Here is a 15,528-nt window from a genome sequence, read left to right as displayed (position 1 = left end):
TCTGGGTCTCCGGGGATCCTCGCGACCTCCCAGGGATGCCCAGCTGGGGCGCGGGCAGGGTCTTTTTTCCTTTTCTTTCTTTCCAAAGTCTCAGAACCATCTGTGGGCGGGGTGGGGGAACTTGAATCACTCTGAGAAACCTCCACAAGAAAGAAAACCCCAATCAAACCTTGCTGCCCACAGCTCCCTTCACTGGTTGGGGGAGTTCAGGTTCCCCGGTGTCCTAGGTTCCTCCCGGCCCTCTCTCCACACATACCAGGGTCTGTTTTCAATTATATTTTATTACATTTTCTTTTTCTCACCTGTCATTTACCAGAACTCCTTGGGTCTCCAGAAATCACAGTGCACCCTGATGTTGTGCCTCCTCCTCCAGGAGGCCCTCCCTGATCAGCCTCCCCTCTATTAGGGCTGATTATTCTGGTTCCTAACACTTGGGTGTTTCATTGTCCTTAATGTGTGCATCTCTGCGTTGTAGGTAGACCTTGTCTTTCAAGCAGGCTGGAGCACAGAGGCTGTGTGGGTTCCTCCCCGGTCTGGGCCTTGCTCTCCTCTCCTGTAAGGAGGACAATAATGACAGCAGTAAAGTCCCCTGTGCCAGGCCCAGCCAGCCTTCCCAGGCCATCCTCTGGGACTATTTATGCCCCACCCCACCCAGGGGGCAAGTTCGAGCCCCCACCACCACCACCCTCCTACAATTTTACAGATAGGAAATGCAGCCCAGGGAGTCCTGGTCTCGTTCAGGGTCAGGAACAGGCCCTGCATGGGTCACACTGGGGGCAGGTGGTGGGGTGACCAGGCCCAGAGGGCACATGTGGCTCAGTTCAGGCAAGTCCTCTCAGCTCATGTGTTGCTTCCACAGTGGGACCGTTGCCACTGCCACAGGAGAGTCCCATCACAGGGCAGATGGCAGTGCTTGGGGCTGGTGCCCTCAGTCTCCAACCAGCCTGCCCCCATTTCATACACGTGGTGATCTTGCTGCCCCACCCACCTTCAGAATCTCCTCTAGCCAGGAAGACAGTGTGCCTCATAGTAACTACAGCTGTGATTTTGCATGCATTTATTTCCTTACCCATCACAACAGCCTGAGAAGGAAAGTTCTCTTTGTATTATCTCCATTTCACAAACGGAGAAACTGAGGTTCAGTGAGGTTAGGGACTCTCCAGGGCCACACAGCTGCTAAGTGGCAGAGCAGCCCTGGGCAGGCTGGCCTCCCAGATGGAGGGCTGGAAGCAGGAGGGGAGAGGCCTACCAGGCTCATGCAAGACCACAGGGCCTCCAGTGCACAATGCAAGTCCTGTTCTGTGACCTTGGCAATCAGTGAGTGGACCCCTCTGCTCCAGCCTTCCCAGGACACCGCAGGTAACTGAAATACTCTCCCAGACTGCTGCCAGGACACCATGACAGGCACAGAGCCAGGCACAGGGGGTGCTTGGGAAGTGGGGTCGGGGCTGCTGAGTTTGGGGTGCCAGAGATAAAGCTGGGGAAACAGGTCAGTGTAGGGACTGAGGCCAGCAACTTGGGGAGATACCCTGACACAAGGCAAGTGCAGGCCTGACCTGGGGCAAGTCCATTGTGGCTCCCTTTGCCGCAGGCACTGTGCTTGAGGTTCCTGCTGCCCCATGGTGGGGCAGAAATCACAAGATCTTCGTAGAGCAAAAGCTAAAACCAAGGGCAGGCTAAAAGTGCTGCCTCTCCCGAAGGGCCCTCAGGCTTAGTGGAGATGCATGTGGACCAGGGGCCCCAGGAAGACCCAGGAGGGCTCTGAGCCCCGGGCAGCCTGAGGTCCTGATATTGCCCCAGGGATAGTTCTGGAAAGACGATAATATTCCAGCAGCTTTGACAGTACCAAATGGGGCACATGGCTGCGGTGAGATGACCTAGAGCAGCTGGGAGGTCCCTCAAGCCCATCAGACACCCCAAAGGCAGCAGGAGATAGCCAAGGTTAGAGAAGCAGTGAGTGCGGGGAGGATAATTCCACAGCCTGGGAGAGAGGTGGATCCCTAGGCACCCCCAGCCCTGGAGCACCCCACCACACAGCAAGCTTGTCCCTCTCCTCCTTACATGTACCCTCTACTGTCAGGTTCTCCTGTTCCCCACTCCCCTCACCCTAGGGTCTCCAAGTAGGGTGTGCAGGTATTTTAGGTAAGAAAGTGGCCGGGCGTAGCGGCTCACGCCTGTGATCCCAACACTTTGTGGGGGCTGAAGCAGGAGGATCACTGCCTGGGCAACATGGCAAAACTGTCTCTACAAAAAACAAACAAAACAACACTTCACCTTGGTGTGGTGGTGCAAGCCTGTAGTCCCAGCCACTTGGGAGGCTGAGGTGGGAGGATGGCTTGGGCCTGGGCAGTCAAGGCTGCAGTGAGCCATGATTCTGCCACTACATCCAGCCTGGGCGACAAAGTGAGACCCTGTCTCAAAAGAAGAAAAAAAAAAAAAAGGCCGGGTGCAGTGGCTCACACCTGTAATCCCAGTATTTTGGGAGACCAAGGTAGGAGGATTACTTGAGGTCAGGGGTTCAAGACCAGCCTGGCCAACAAGATGAAACCCCATCTCTACTAAAAATACAAAAATTAGCTGGGTGTGGTGGCACACACCTGTAATCCCAGCTACTCAGGAGGCTGACGCAGGAGAATCGCTTGAACCCAGGAGGCAGAGGTTGCAGTGAGCCGAGGTTGCGCCACTGCAGAGTGAGATGGCAGAGTGAGACTCCGCCAAAAAAAAAAGAGAAAGAGAAAGAAAAGGGAGGAAGGGGAGGGGAGGGGAAGGGAAGGGAGAGGAAAGGAGGGGACGGGAGGGGAGAAGGGGAAGGAAAAAAAAAAAAAGAACTGAGCCAACTTCAGTATCTAACATTGTGATTGACACTGTCGCCCCTCTGGAGCCCAATCTGAGAATCAGCAGGATTCTCCTTGTTCTGTCTCAGGGTTCTGAAGGCAGAAACAAGACTAGGGGCCTTTTCCCTGCAGGCTGAGGCGGATTTCCAGACGCAGAGACCTCAACTTAATTAACTGATCCCCAGGAAACGTTGAAGGACTGATACAGCACAGCCAACATGAGCCAAGGGCAGCTGTGTGGAGGGGCAAGCTGATGCAGTGGTGCCCACAGATGCACAGTGATTCATTCATATGGAAGCATAGGTTGGGGGATTCCCCAGGTCAAAGAACTGGGGCCCAACCCCATCGCCCATGCCTGTTCCTGCCCCTCTGCCTTGCCCTGGCTACTGCAGCCCAGCTTCTTCTCGGCCCAGGTCTGTCTACACAGGCCTGACGACTGTATGCCCAGCACCCACTGGATTCTTTGGGGTTGTTCAACTCTGTCCAAAGTCAGCTCCAGCCCATTGACCTATTCAGTTCAGACTAGGCCCTCCTCAAATGGCTGGCTTTGCAGCGCACACTCTCCTGTCCCCAGGCTCTGGGATAGCCAGTCTTATTTATTTATTTATTTATTTATTTATTTATTTATTTATTTATTTTGAGACGGACTCTTGCTCTGTCTCCCAGGCTGGAGTGCAGTGGCGCGATCTTGGCTCACTGCAAGCTCCGCCTCCTGGGTTCACGCCATTCTCCTGCCTCAGCCTCCCCAGTAGCTGGGACTACAGGCGCCTGCCACCATGCCGGGCTAAGATTTTTTGGTATTTTTCATAAAGACAGGGTTTCCCCGTGTGAGTCAGGATGGTCTCGATCTCCTGACTTTGTGATCCGCCCACCTTGGCCTCCCAAAGTGCTGGGATTACAGGTGTGAGCCACCGCGCCCGGACTTTTTTTTTTTTTTTTTTTTTTTGAGATGGAGTTTCACTCTTTTTGCCCAGGCTGGAGTGCAATGGCATGATTTGGGGTCACCGTAACCTCCGCCTCCCAGGTTCAAGCAATTTTCCTGCCTCAGCCTCCCGAGTAGCTGGGATTACAGGCGTGTGCCACCATGCCCGGCTAATTTTGTATTTTTAGTAGAGATAGGGTTTCTCCATGTTGGTCAGGCTGGTCTTGAACTCCTGACCCCAGGTGATCTGCCTGCCTTGGCCTCCCAAAGTGCCGGGATTACAGGCATGAGCCACCGCGCCTGGTGAGGGATAGCCAGTCTTAATCCCTGTTCTCATGGAGGGAGGTGGCAGGAGCTGAGGGCAGATGCCCGTAGGTGTTCATAGGAGAGGAAAAGGGCATTCACACAGAAGAAACAGTGTGGGCAAGGAGGTAAGATGGTAAATTCTGGAGAACTCAGAATATGCCAGTCCAGTCCAGCTTGCCATGAAGTTCTGGGCAGGGGCCTGGCATGGAGGTTGGCTGGTCTGGAGGAACAGGGGGAGCTGGGTAAGGAGTCTTCATCACATGTGTTTTGTTTTTGAAATGGGGTTTCTCTCTGTCACCCAGGCTGGAGTTCAGGAGTACGATCATAGCTCACTGCAGCCTTGAACTCCTAGGCTCAAGGGATTCTCCTGCCTCATTCTCCCATGTAGATGGGACTACAGGCATATGCCACTGTGCCCGGTTGCATGTGTCTTCAGGAAAGAAATCTAAGACTGGTGTTGGACTGGAAGGAGGCAAGAGGTAGGCGGAAGAGGTCAGAGGACTCCTACAGTGAGGGCTGGGCAAGAGCTAGCCCACAGGGCTGCAGGGTAGCCCTGTCCCTGTGGCACTTAATTAGACCCCATGAGGAATTTCTATCATCAATTTGGCAACAGGCCAGGAGCGTGGCTCACACCTGTAATCCCAGTTCTTTGGGAGGCCAAGGCAGGAGGATTGCTGGAGCCCTGGAGTTCAAGACCAGCCTGGGCAACATGACAAAACCCCCTCTCTAAACACACGCACACGCGCGTGCGTGCACACACACACACACACGATTGACAACAAGCTCCACACTCCCAGTGACCGATGAGCTAGTATGAGCTGTCTCAGGCCAGGCGTGATGGCTCATGCCTGTAATCCCAGCACTTTAGTAGGCCGAGGCAGGTGGATCATCTGAGGTTAGGAGTTCGAGACCAGGTTGGCCAACATGGCGAGACCCCGTCTCTACTAAAAATACAAAAAAAAAAAAATTAGCTGGGCATGGTGGCGGGCACCTGTAATCCCACCTACTTGGGAGGCTGAGGCAGGAGAATTGCTTGAACCCAGGAGGTGGAGGTTGCAGTGAGCTGAGATCGCGCCACTGCATTCCAGCCTGGGCGAAGGAGCGGGACTCTGTCTAAAAAAAAAACAAAAAACAAAATGAAACAAAAACAAAAACAAACAAACAAACAAACAAAACCAGCTGTCTCAGTCCACACAGTGGAATATTATTCTGCCGTGAAAAAGTTTTTTTATTACAAACATTTTATTATTTTTAATTATAAACAGTGTTTTGTAATTGTGTTAAAAATACATATTTTTTTTTTGATACAGGGTCCTGCTCTGTGGCACAGACTGGAGTGCAGTGGCGTGATGACAGCTCACTGCAGCCTCCACCTCCCAGGCTCAGGGGATCCTCCCACCTCAGCCTCCGGAGTAGCTGGGACTACAGGCATTTGTCACCATGCCTAGCTAATTTTTGTATTTTCTTGGTAGAGACAGGGTTTCACCATGTTGCCCAGGCTGATCTCGAACTCCTGAGCTCAAGCAATCTGCCTGCCTCGGCCTCCCAAAGTGCTGGGATTACAAGCATGAGCCACCATGCTGGGCCTAAATATTTTAAATATTTTCTTTTTTTTTTCTTTTGAGACAGGGTCTCGCTCTGTTGCCCAGGCTGGAGTGCAGTGGTGCGATTACGGCTCACTGCAACCTTCACTTCCCGGGCTCAGGTGACCCTCCCACCTCATTCTCCTGAGTAGCTGGGACTACAGGAGTGGGCGTGCCACCATGGCTGGCTAATTTTAAAAATTTTTTCGTAGAGGCAGGTTTTCGCCATGCTGCCCAGGCTGGTCTTGAACTCCTGGACTCAAGCAATTCGCTCACCTCGGCCTCCCAAAGTGCTGGGAATACAGGCATGAGCCACCGCACCTGGCCTTTCTTTCTTTCTTTCTTTCTTTCTTTTTTGAGACTGAGTCTTGCTTTGTTGCCCAGGCTGGAGTGCAATGGTGCGATCTCAGCTCACTGCAACCTCCGCCTCCCAGGTTAAAGCAATTCTCCGGCCTCAGCCTCCTGAGTAGCTGGGATTACAGGCGTGGGCCACCACACCCAGCTAATTTTTGTATTTTTAGTAGAGATGGGGTTTCACCATGATTAGCCAGGCTGGTCTCAAACTCCTAACCTCAAGTAATTCACCTGCCTCAGTCTCCCAAAGTGATGGGGTTACAGGCATGAGCCACCACACCTGGGCCAACTCCCAGGTTCAAACCATCCTCCCACCTCAGCCTGTGGAGTAGCTGGGACTATAGGTATGCCACCAAGCCCAGCTAATTTTTTCATTTTTATTTTTTTGTAGACTCACTATATTGCCCAGGCTGGTCTTGAACCCTGGGGCTCACATGATCCTCTCCGCCTCAGCTTCCCAAATTGCTGGGGTTAGAGGTGTGAGCCACCGCGCCCTGCCTACGGGTCTTTTGAATGCTGCATCCTATAGCTATTTTTTTCCTTCAACCCAGAAGCCAAAGCATAATTCCCTAAATTCTTCAGAGCTGTCTTGGTGAGCTCAGGTGGTCTGCAAACCGCTGTTTCCAGAAGGCTGGCATGGGGGCCTGTGTCTTCCTCCTTGCAGCCCTGTCCAGGCCCCTCCTCTTCTTGGCTCCCACCCTCTAGGCAGTTACTGGTTATCTACTCCGTCCTTCCCGGACTTGACTGTTGGGCATCTCGAGGGCTTCCCCCTTGTTAGTCTTCTCTTCCTCAGACCCCTTAGCCTGAAAGTGTGTTCCCCCAGGGCTTTCCTTGGCGGGCGGGCGAGCGGGCGGAGGCTGTCCTCTTGGGGCCCCCACCCTGGCCATCCCATGCGGCCGTCCCTCCTCCACACGGTCCTGCTTCCATCTTAGGGAGGGCAGAGCTCAGTGATCCTGCGCCTCCCTCAGGGACTCTGGGACACAGGTTACTTAGGGCCGAGAGCCCAGGAAGCCCTGAGAGGGCAAATGCAACGGCTCCGAAGAGCCATACGGAGAAGGGCGGCGCAGCCGGCCGTTGGGCCCCATGCCCCGCCTTCTGCAACCCCACGCCACCCAACCCCACCACACGCCACCCTCCGCCCCGCAGCTGCCCCGGCCCACAGCCCCCAGTCTCTGCAGTCGCTGAATGCGCCCCCCTCCCCTCCCCGCCATCCGTGGACGCCAGAAGCCATGGGCACTGGAGGATGTCAGGGAAAGGTCAAGTTCTTCCTTGGGATCCGAGAGCGAGGACGGAGCTCCCGGAAGCACCAGGGGCCACGAGAGTTGGGCCGCCCTCCACACCCGCCCCGCGCAAGGTCCGCCACCCTCTACCCCCATCCCAAGCTGGGATCCTCCCTGCCCTTCACCCCCTTCCGTGCGATGTCCACCTTCCCCGGAGTCGGCGCTGGAGATGCCCTACCTCGGCTGCCGCGGGCGGGGACCGAAGGTGCAGCTCGGCCTGGCGATGCGGGGACATGAGTAAAGGTCTGGAGGACACGGAGCTGGCCAGGGTCCGGGTTGCACGCCCCGCGGCCACACCGGAGTCCACGCTGCAGCGGGGGTCCGAGCCCGTTTTCAGGGTCCAGGGACGTGGCGGCCTGGCCCTCAGCCCCGCCTCAGGGCTGTGCCCCCGACTGCGCCCGGCTCTGTCCCCACCTCCCCAGCCCCAGGTAAGGGCGCGCGAGAAGGGACGCGGAGAGCGCCGGTCAGGAAGCCCGGACTGAGCGCGGGGGCTGGGATCTGGGATCCAAACGCCGTGGCCGCGGGCCCGCGCCCGGGCAGACCCGGGCTCCGCTCTCACGTCACGCGGTACATGGGCTACAGTTCCTTGTCCGAGGGCTTCCGGGAGCTGGAGCCGCACAGAATGAAGGGGTTCACTGGTAGTGGTTCCCAACTTCGTTGCATATTAAACCCCCCTGGAGAACTTAAACTCCAGTGCCCAGTCCTATGCAATCAGATCCTGGGTCTCCACTGTGCAGCGCCCGTGGAGAGCCAGCGATGTGGAGGGTCGAGATCACCCAGTTCTTTGGGGACAGGGTCTCACTGCCACCAAGGCTGGAGTCCAGTGGTGCAATCACGGCTCACAGCAGTCTCGACCTCCAGGGCTCAAGCGATCCTCCAGCCTCAGCCTCCCAAGCAGCTGGGAGCACAGGCGCATACCACGCGTGGCTTTTTTGAGACGAGGTCTTGCCATGTTTCCCAGGCTGGTCTCGAACTTCTGGGCTCAAGCGACCCTCCCGTCTCAGGCCTTCCAAAGTTCTGGGATTACAGGCGTGAGTCACTGCCCCTGGCCCCATCCAGCTCCTTCAGCCTGAATTACCAGTATTTCCCCTCCTCCAGGAAGCCAAGAATGCTTCCTAAACCCGCCTGGGCTCCATAGCGCCCCTCATCCTCAGCACACTAGTTACCACCTAAGCTGCCCCAGCTTTCCAGTGCGGGGCCCTGAGCTCCAGCTCTGGTTGCTACCGGAATAGTCCTGCTTGCTGCCCTTGAAGAACCAGGGTGTACACTAAGACTGCAAGAGCAGAGTCCAGCCATAATAGCGGGTTGGGGAGTCACCGACTTGGCAGAGAAGACACCTCCAGAATTACCAGCCTGGAGGTGTCAAGTTTTTGTTGCAGGGTAAGGTTTCAAGACTGGCTGGGCCAGCTGTACTGTTAACCCAGCAGGGAGGCAAGCAGAGGCCCCCACTAGGTCCCATGTCCAAGAGTTTCCCTCACCTCAAAGGAACCCAGTCCAGCATTGCTGGCCAAGATATACCTGTTCAAACAAGTTATTTTTTAGTTATTTATTAAAAATTGAGATGCTGGCCAGGTGGTGGCTCATGCCTGTAATCCCAGCACTTTGGGAGGCCAAGGTGGGCGGATCCCCTGAGGTCAGGAGTTCAAGAGCAGCCTGGTCAACATGGTGAAACCTGCTCTCTACTAAAAACACAAAAAGTAGCTAGGCATGGTGGCGCAAGCCTGTAGTCCCAGCTACTGGGGAGGCTGAGGCAGGAGAATCGCTTAAACCTGGGAGGTGGAGGTTGCAGTGAGCCGAGAATACACCACTGCAGAAGACACTGTCTCAAAAAAAAAAAAAAAAAAAATTGAGATCCTACTATGTCTCAATAGGTGTCACTATGTCGACCGTGCTGGAGTGCAGTGGCTATTCGCAGGCACAGTCATAACTCACTGCAGTCTGGAACTCCTAGGCTCAAGCAATCCTCCAGCCTCAGCCTCCAGAGTAGCTGGGACTATAAGAACGCACCACCGCACCAGGCTCTAAAGGTAGTTTTCAAAGATGTCTCTGGAGTATTGTTTCTTCCAGAATGATGTGACAGTTTTGATATTTCAAGACAGACTTCTCTCAAATTCAGCAGAAACCTGAAAGTAGGAACCAGGGACATTTTAGCCTCATAGTTCTATATATATATATATATATATATCCTGGGCCAGGCACAGAGGGTCATGCCTGTAATCCCAGCTTCTGAGGAGGCCAAGGTGGGAGGATTGCCTGGGCCCAGGAGTTGGAGGCTGCAGTGAGCTATCATCTTACCACTGCACTCCAGCCTGAGCAAGACACTGTCTTAAATAAATTTTTAACTTTTTTTTTTTTGAGATGGAGTCTCACTCTGTCACCCATGGGGCTGGAGTGCAGTGGTGTGATCTTGGCTCACTGCAACCTCTGCCTCCCGGGTTCAAGCAATTCTCCTGCCTCAGCCTCCCGAGTAGCTGGGATTACAGGCGCCCGCCACCATGCCCAGCTAATTTTTTTATTTTTAGTAGAGACGGGGTTTCACCATCTTGGCCAGGCTGGTCTTGAACTCCTGACCTTGTGATCCAAAGTGCCTCAGCCTCCCAAAGTGCTGGTAAATTTATTTTTAAGACAGGGTCTCAGCTGGGCGCAGTGGCTCATGCCTGTAATCTCAACACTTTGGAAGGCTGAGGTGGGTGGCTCACCTGAGGTCAGGAGTTTGAGACCAGCCTGGCCAACATGGTGAAACCCCGTCTCTACTAAAAAATACAAAAGTTAGCTGGACGTGGTGGCACACACCTGTAATCCCAGCTACTCAGGGGAGGCTGAGGCAGAAGAATTGCTTGAACCCGGGAGGTGGAGGTTGCAATGAGGTGACGTCACACCACTGCATTCCAGCTCTGGGCAACAGAGCAAGACTGTCTTAGTGGGGGTGGGGGCGGGGAGGGCGGTGAGAAGGATCTTCCTCTGTCACCCAGGCTGGAGTGCAGTGGTATGTCAGCTCACTGCAACCTCTGCCTCCCAAGCTCAAAAGATCTTCCCACCTTGGCCCTCCCTGCACAGTAGTTGGGACTACAGGCCTGCATCACCATGCCTGGCTCATTTTTATATTTTTTGCCGAGATGAGATTTCACCGTGTTGGCCAGGCTGGTCCTGAACTCCAGATCTGCCCATCTCGGCCTCCCAAAGTGCTGAGATTACAGGCATGAGCCACCACATCCAGCCATAATTTTTAAAAATGGCTTCCTGAGGTTTTACAAGAAAATATGCACCTCAAAATACACAAATAGGCATGGGAATAGAGTACAGTGAAGTGAAAGATAAAATGTACTGAGAGCTGGGAGTAGGAGAGACAAGGCCCTGGCTGAGGGGGTGTCAGTGGGCCTCCCAACACCTCAAGCCAATCCACTTGGAGGTCTCCCAAAGTTCATCAGGAGAACCACCTACAGCCAAGAACAGAAAAGGATTCAAGAAAGCCGCACAGATATCATGCCCTGACCTGCAATGAGGCTGCTCACTTCCCATGACTTCTGCTTGATACCATTCAACCCTGGTTAGCTCATGCTGAAGAAATATTTACTAGAAGCCTCAGATATGGGTGCCTAGAAGGAAAAAGATCCAAGTTCTCTGTGGTGGTGCAACCTGTGGGAACTATTGCCTCATGCTCAGAAGGCCAAGCACTAGGCTCCCATACAATACCTACAAGACAGACACTCTGGGAGGCAGATTTCTCTTTTGGAGGGAGACCCCAGGTGCTCTCCTCTGGGTGCCCGAGTGTTGGAATGGGCGGATGCCAAGACTTCATTCTAGCTCTTGGTCAGCAGCAGCACTAAGGGTCTCTGAGAAGCATCAGAGATTTCACCACTGATGAACTGCCAGGAGGCTAGTGGGGGCGGACTGAGGAGACACTGAAACACCGAAGCTGCCGCCACCACCGGCTGATGCAAGTTTTATTGAGACAATATACAAACAGGCCATGGAAACAAGGGTTTTGATGCTGGGACCAGTAACGTAAAACGGAATACAAAAATAAAAAGGCACTAATCTGTTAAGAAAAGACACTCGATGTATTCTAAGAATATAAGTCATTTAATACTGTTAATTTTATAGCACAAAATAAAACAAGCTATGATCCCCAAAAATAATTTTAAAAGCTTACACAGAAAATATTATTGCCTGAAGTTTATGATCTTTAAGTTACAGGTCAAAAGAGTTTTATGTTGTTGTTGTTGTTGTTGTTGTTGTTTTAAAACACACAGTGAAGACCGTCTAAGAAGCAAGGCCACTGTTCCTCCTGTAGGGACAACGATCCTGTCTCAGAGACCTGTCCTTCTGCTCCTTTAGAAAACAGAACCAGCACAGCGTCCACACCGACAGCAGTTACTAGGGGCATAGTCCTCCGGTCGCAGAGGGTGGAGTTGAGGCAGAGCTCAGTGGTGTCCACAGAAAGCATTAGTCTTAGGTACTGTGTTAAAACAATCAAGAATTCATTCATGTTTAAGAGGTTAATAACCATAATATTAAAGGATTAATTATAAACACCTGGCAAAAAACCACATCATCCCTTTTCAAAAATAAAATGTTCATATTCCTCTGAGCAAACATCACAAGAGCAGTGGCCATCTGCCTCAGGCCTGCCTTGTCTGTAAACAGCTGTAAAGGAAAGCTAGCACAGCGCCAGGGACACATGAGCTCCCAGGAGGGCACAGCTGTCCTTCCCTTTCAGCTTTCCAAACATGAGCACAGAAGGTGTCTAGTCTGGGTGACCAAAGTCCTCAAACGGCAGCCGGTCAACACATCGTCTTCCTCGTTAACCATGTCATCAGGTGGTTCCACACAGCACAGACATGGCTGACTCCTGTACCGCAGGTCCTTCCCGGGATACACAAGTTTTTAACCAGTCAATGCCCTCTAGTACGTAATTTGTTTCCTTCCCAGGTGAAAAACCATAGTGAGTTAATTTAACATCCAAATATTTCTTTAAACATGGTAGAGCAGAGCAAGTAGCAGTTATGAACACCCACCCTCTGGGTCAGATGTGCACTGCTCTATGGAGCACAACAGTCTTCCCAGACCAGTGGGGAACCCAGGCACGAAGCTGAGCTGAGGCAGCAGTGCTGCATTCATATGTTTAGTGTGAAAAACAGAGTATCCCTGCCTCATTAAAAAAACTGACAAGGTTGTAAGTCCGTTAAGTTTTACTAGTTTTGGCACATATCTGGAGTGCAGAACTCAAGCTCGCCTTGTTTTGAGCTCTGAATCTCCTGGCAGCCCTGGATGCCATTTTCATGGGCTGAAGTAACGAGCTGATTAATTATAAAACCAAACCACAGGTATACTCTAGGTATATCTGATTCTGAAGTGCGCCACACAAGGTGAGTCGGGGTATTGGTCAGTAGACAGGGCTGAAAGGAAACCTTGCTTTCCAAAATGGCCAGACTTCTTGCACTCTGAGTCAACTGCTGTAATTCAAAGGTGTCAAGCCCTTCAGCTAAATCTGGTTGAAAAAGGCCTAAGGGTCGTGCCCTCCTTGAACAAGGCACACATTCCTCCCTCTGTTGGAAACTCCACTCATGGCTCAACATGGGCCGGGATGAACCACGTCACTGGCCAAAGGGCAAACACTGTTTCTAGGCAGAGTCTGGGGACTCTTGTGATATGTCTGCCACTTGTGGGTGCTACGCCAGGCCTGAACCCAAAATAAGCCAACCTGACACACCTAACCAGAAGCGGCAACTGCCGCAGACCGTGCAGAGCAGGAGGCGGTCACCGTTCTCACTGGCAAGGAAGGGCTAATCTCCAAGGCTTTTAGAGGAAAACCACAGATGGGAAGCCATGGCGATAGTTTTCCCAAATGACCATTAATTCTGTCTCAGGAACACTCTCAAGATTCATGAATACAGCAGTTATCTGCCTGATGGAATACTGATTTAAAGAAAAATTGAAAAATGGCTGTTCTGCTGGTTCTGTCTCCAGAATGCATTGCTCTAAATCTCAAAACCTAGGAACCTCCAGACAGGGCCACAGTCACAGCAGATGATCAGTAAATGAAAGCTACTCAGTAGGCTGCTGCTACATTTCTAGGTCTGCTGTGTTCACTATGAGCTGAGGCTTTTCTTTACCAGGGTCCACAAGGGAGAGCAGACTGAATTGCACAGGGTTCCCAGAATTCTAGTCTGCTATGTGCAGCAGATGATGGATGAACCACACGTATATACCAGTTGGCTTGTATGAACAGGCCTCTTTTAGCTAACAGGGAAATGCTTTAACATCAATACACTGATAAGTGGTTAATGATAAACTAGTTAATGGTCTCCCTAGTCACTAAAACACTAAGACATCAAATACATTAACGAATTTCCAGAGCTTGCATTTCCTTTGCTTGGGAGCATCACAGACACTTACTTAGACTGTGAGACCAGTATGAGCAGCACCAACTTTCTCTGGCAGCCTGACGAGATTGGGCCTGGGCACGGAGGTCTGGGCTTCAGTGAGTGGAGTTGAACGATTCATTAATGAGTCCAACGATTCTATGAACAACGCCACTTTTTAAGGAAGTTTAAGTCTGAACCTTAAAGGGGTACATTCACTGAAAAGCTGAACAGAAAACTGGCCAAGTGCCCTCCAACCCACTGCTCTTATCACTGGCAAAACAAGGTAAGCAAAGGTTTCCCTAAAGTACCCCCAACTCTGATGCTTTTTAAAACAAAGTAATCCAAGGGGCTGTGCACATAGCATGGCACACCACAACTGCATTATTTTGTGTGTTGTCTGCTACATGGCAAAACAAGGTACTACTGGCAACCAAGACAATAAAGGCCTCTGCTTCAGGGTTGTTCTTTTCAGATTCCTTTAGTTACAGCAGCTTCAGTTTAGAAGCTCAGAGGCATGAGTCATTCCTTGCACTATCATAAAAACCCAACCTGCTACTTAACCTGTTTAGAACACACAAGTCTAGGCCAGGCGCGGCGGCTCACGGCTGTAATCCCAGCACGTTGGGAGGCTGAAGGCGGGTGGATCACCTGAAGTCAGGAGTTTGAGACCAGCCTGGTCAACATGATGAAACCCCGTCTCTACTAAAAATACAAAAATTAGCTGGGCGTGGTGTGCGCGCCTGCAGTCCCAGCTACTTGGGAGGCTGAGGCAGGAGAATCGCTTGAACTCAGGAGGCGGAGACTGCAGGAAGGCGAGATTGCGCCACTGCACTCCAGCCTGGGTGATGCAGCGAGACACCGTCTCAAAAAAACAAAACAAAACAAACAAAACAAAACAAAAAAAAACCCCCACACAAGTCTAATTAATTAGTTTTCCAAAACCAAACCAAAACAAAAGAAAAAAAAAAGCCAGATTTTGGAGTTTTAGAACAGAATTCTCTCTTCCTTAAGGTTCACTTCCTGTTGTCCAAAGAAAAGCAAGATGGCAGCTAAGCCACTGCTTTGTGGAACAGCAAACATGCAGTATCTCGCCATGGCCTCAAGCTTTCTCTGGTGAACACAACAGAATCAGTCCCATGTACAAACGGGCAGCAATGAGAAGGAAGACCCTTTCCATGTCAACTTCTCTCCACTTGTGTGCTTCCATCAGTATTTCCAGTTTATGATCCAAAAGAACTCTAAAATCGGCTACTCTTTGACAATACGACTATGATACAAACATCAGGAGGCAGCCGCTGTGTGCATTCCAAATGTGTGTGCGACTGCCAGTCTGCAGAAAGCTGGACTTCGGCAATGCAGTGTGACTTGCCTATGAGAGAAAATGCTTTCCCACTTCAAAGGAGACTAGGACAGGCAGAACAACAAAGCAGCAGGAAACAGGGCAACAGCAATCACTCGTTTTCATCTGGGTTTTGAGGGTCAAAGATTTTGACGTGCGTAAAGGGGAAAAGCCCTTTGCGCCCGTTCACTTCGCCTTCCCACTGGCCATTTATATTCATCCTTGTGACTTTCACGATGTCACCAACCTGTATGGATGAAGAAGACAAAGTTAGCATTTCTCTGCAACAAGAAAAAGACAGTTTACATTAAATCACAAACACTACCTTATCCAAAGGGCCCATACATTATTATTTAGACACAGGGTCTCACTCTGTTAGCCATGCTGGAGTGTAGTGGTGAGATCCCTGCTCAATGTAACCTCTAACGCCTGGGCTCAAGTGATCCTTCCACCTCCACCTCTTGAATAGCTGTGACTACAGGCGTGCACCACCATGCACATTATTTTTTAATTTTTTATAGACGGGGTCTGTCGCCCAGGCT

The 15,528-nt window shown here is 51.8% G+C and overlaps 1 protein-coding gene and 1 long non-coding RNA gene across 3 annotated transcripts in view, besides 7 other annotated features; both read right to left on the bottom strand.

The window, feature by feature from the left end:
- Nucleotides 1-263: 263 nt before the first annotated feature.
- On the bottom strand, nucleotides 264-7,852 carry LINC01637 (long intergenic non-protein coding RNA 1637). Its single transcript, NR_110537.1, has 2 exons — nucleotides 7,458-7,852; nucleotides 264-553 (listed from the first exon to the last, which is right to left on the bottom strand). It is a non-coding gene; the product is annotated as a long intergenic non-protein coding RNA 1637 (long non-coding RNA).
- Nucleotides 2,928-2,987: an enhancer, noted in NCBI's record as "active region_18691". NCBI's record gives its function as "activates an Ori minimal core promoter by ATAC-STARR-seq in GM12878 lymphoblastoid cells {active_cell/tissue: GM12878}" and the evidence as "EXISTENCE:reporter gene assay evidence [ECO:0000049][PMID:35858748]".
- Nucleotides 3,028-3,117: an enhancer, noted in NCBI's record as "active region_18690". NCBI's record gives its function as "activates an Ori minimal core promoter by ATAC-STARR-seq in GM12878 lymphoblastoid cells {active_cell/tissue: GM12878}" and the evidence as "EXISTENCE:reporter gene assay evidence [ECO:0000049][PMID:35858748]".
- Nucleotides 7,520-8,115: an enhancer, noted in NCBI's record as "H3K27ac-H3K4me1 hESC enhancer chr22:21311117-21311712 (GRCh37/hg19 assembly coordinates)". NCBI's record gives its function as "activates a minimal SCP1, AML or CMV promoter by ChIP-STARR-seq in naive H9 embryonic stem cells {active_cell/tissue: H9 hESC(naive)}" and the evidence as "EXISTENCE:reporter gene assay evidence [ECO:0000049][PMID:30033119]".
- Nucleotides 7,718-7,807: a silencer, noted in NCBI's record as "silent region_13503". NCBI's record gives its function as "represses an Ori minimal core promoter by ATAC-STARR-seq in GM12878 lymphoblastoid cells {active_cell/tissue: GM12878}" and the evidence as "EXISTENCE:reporter gene assay evidence [ECO:0000049][PMID:35858748]".
- Nucleotides 8,086-8,281: a silencer, noted in NCBI's record as "fragment chr22:21310951-21311146 (GRCh37/hg19 assembly coordinates)". NCBI's record gives its function as "represses an EF-1alpha promoter that drives an FKBP-Casp9 reporter gene in an ReSE screen in phorbol 12-myristate 13-acetate-treated (for megakaryocytic differentiation) K562 erythroleukemia cells {active_cell/tissue: K562(+PMA)}" and the evidence as "EXISTENCE:reporter gene assay evidence [ECO:0000049][PMID:32094911]".
- The window catches only part of CRKL (CRK like proto-oncogene, adaptor protein), a 36,341-nt gene continuing 32,009 nt past the window's right edge, over nucleotides 11,197-15,528 (bottom strand). The window contains exons 3-4 of one of the 2 annotated variants that reach the window (NR_156180.2): nucleotides 13,679-15,233; nucleotides 11,197-11,738 (exon numbers count right to left, since the gene is read on the bottom strand). Coding sequence is in view for 1 of the 2 variants with exons in the window: in NM_005207.4 (NP_005198.1) it covers nucleotides 15,099-15,233 (135 nt within the window). In the remaining variant the exon portion in view is untranslated. Of the gene's footprint in view, nucleotides 15,234-15,528 lie in introns of both variants that reach the window. The other variant, NM_005207.4, reaches the window with a different exon arrangement.
- Nucleotides 12,424-12,923: an enhancer, noted in NCBI's record as "H3K4me1 hESC enhancer chr22:21306309-21306808 (GRCh37/hg19 assembly coordinates)". NCBI's record gives its function as "activates a minimal SCP1, AML or CMV promoter by ChIP-STARR-seq in primed H9 embryonic stem cells {active_cell/tissue: H9 hESC(primed)}" and the evidence as "EXISTENCE:reporter gene assay evidence [ECO:0000049][PMID:30033119]".
- Nucleotides 12,924-13,425: an enhancer, noted in NCBI's record as "H3K4me1 hESC enhancer chr22:21305807-21306308 (GRCh37/hg19 assembly coordinates)". NCBI's record gives its function as "activates a minimal SCP1, AML or CMV promoter by ChIP-STARR-seq in primed H9 embryonic stem cells {active_cell/tissue: H9 hESC(primed)}" and the evidence as "EXISTENCE:reporter gene assay evidence [ECO:0000049][PMID:30033119]".

This window comes from Homo sapiens, chromosome 22 (genome assembly GCF_000001405.40).
Source record: "Homo sapiens chromosome 22, GRCh38.p14 Primary Assembly".
NCBI classification, from domain to species: domain Eukaryota; kingdom Metazoa; phylum Chordata; class Mammalia; order Primates; family Hominidae; genus Homo; species Homo sapiens.
This window is presented reverse-complemented; position numbering and strand designations above follow the sequence as displayed.